This window comes from Homo sapiens, chromosome 12 (genome assembly GCF_000001405.40).
Source record: "Homo sapiens chromosome 12, GRCh38.p14 Primary Assembly".
NCBI lineage: Eukaryota > Metazoa > Chordata > Mammalia > Primates > Hominidae > Homo > Homo sapiens.
This window is the reverse complement of record NC_000012.12, coordinates 13,115,646-13,116,689: the sequence shown is the minus strand read 5'-3', so window position 1 is coordinate 13,116,689 and position 1,044 is coordinate 13,115,646. Positions and strand designations below refer to the sequence as shown.

At 43.4% G+C, this 1,044-nt stretch overlaps 1 annotated feature.

Annotated features, from left to right (window-relative positions):
* Positions 1-295: a silencer, noted in NCBI's record as "tiled region #6445; K562 Repressive non-DNase unmatched - State 22:ReprW". NCBI's record gives its function as "represses a minimal TATA promoter and a strong SV40 promoter by Sharpr-MPRA in K562 cells {active_cell/tissue: K562}" and the evidence as "EXISTENCE:reporter gene assay evidence [ECO:0000049][PMID:27701403]".

Genomic DNA, 1,044 nt, shown 5'->3' with positions numbered 1-1,044 from the left:
ATTTGCATATACAAGATGTTTTGAGATAGCAATCTTTTTAAGGATTTGTAACTACATGGCTTATACTTTTTATCTACTTTTCATCATTTCCATTGTGATGATTGAACATATTCCTTCAAAGGTTTGCTCCATTTTCCTCTACCTATGAGCTGCATGCCAGCAGCGGAAACAAGCCCAGGAATGTTGTACGGAATGGAAAAGGCAGGAAAGCGCTGTTTGGCTTGGAATTCCGCGGCTGGGGCAGGCAGGGTGGAGGAGTGATACAGCTTTCTGAACAGGGTGTTCTTTGGGGCGTAGGGGACCTGATGAAGGGATCTAAGTTCAAAACAAATGGGCAGCAACAGCAGGAGGGGCGTGAGAAGGGCCCAGGCTGGTGTCCCTGTGGGCCAGGTAGGAAACAGTGTCCAGGAGACAGTTGTCCTTTCAGATTACAGCACTGTTCTGTTTTGCTAATTTATTTTTTGCATGCATCACATACCTCGTGGCTAAAATAGTAATTTTTTAGTTACAGCTTATAGGGAGGGAGGAATTAAGAGAAAAAGCAAGCAAAAAGAGAAAGAGAGAGAGGCTTGGAAGGGATCTCAGCAAAAGAAATCATCTAAGATGAAGTAATGCTGCCTCAATTAAAGGAGTAGAGCAAGGATCTTTCAAGTTTCTTTCTAGTTTATGATTCTTTGATTATTGCAAAGAGGAACTTCAGTCCAGTGCAGAGTGGGAGTCTCTCTTGCCCTGCTCAGCTGAAGGACTTTAAATCGTCTCTCCTCTTTGAGCTTCAGGGTCCACATGAGCTCACATGAAATCTTTAGGATAGATATGTCCAAGGCCCCTACTTACTCTGAAGTTCAGTGATGCTGTGATTTAAGCTTAAAGGAGTTTGTGACTGCCCTGGAAACACCTTCCTCCAGGTAAAGCAATGAAATGGACAAAGTGGCAAGAAGGGAATTTGTTCATGAGCTGCCTGAAGAGTTTGTAAATATTAATAGGAACACACATGATGAGAAATGTAAGCAAGGAAGCCCCTAGACTTTTCCACGGGACCAGCCA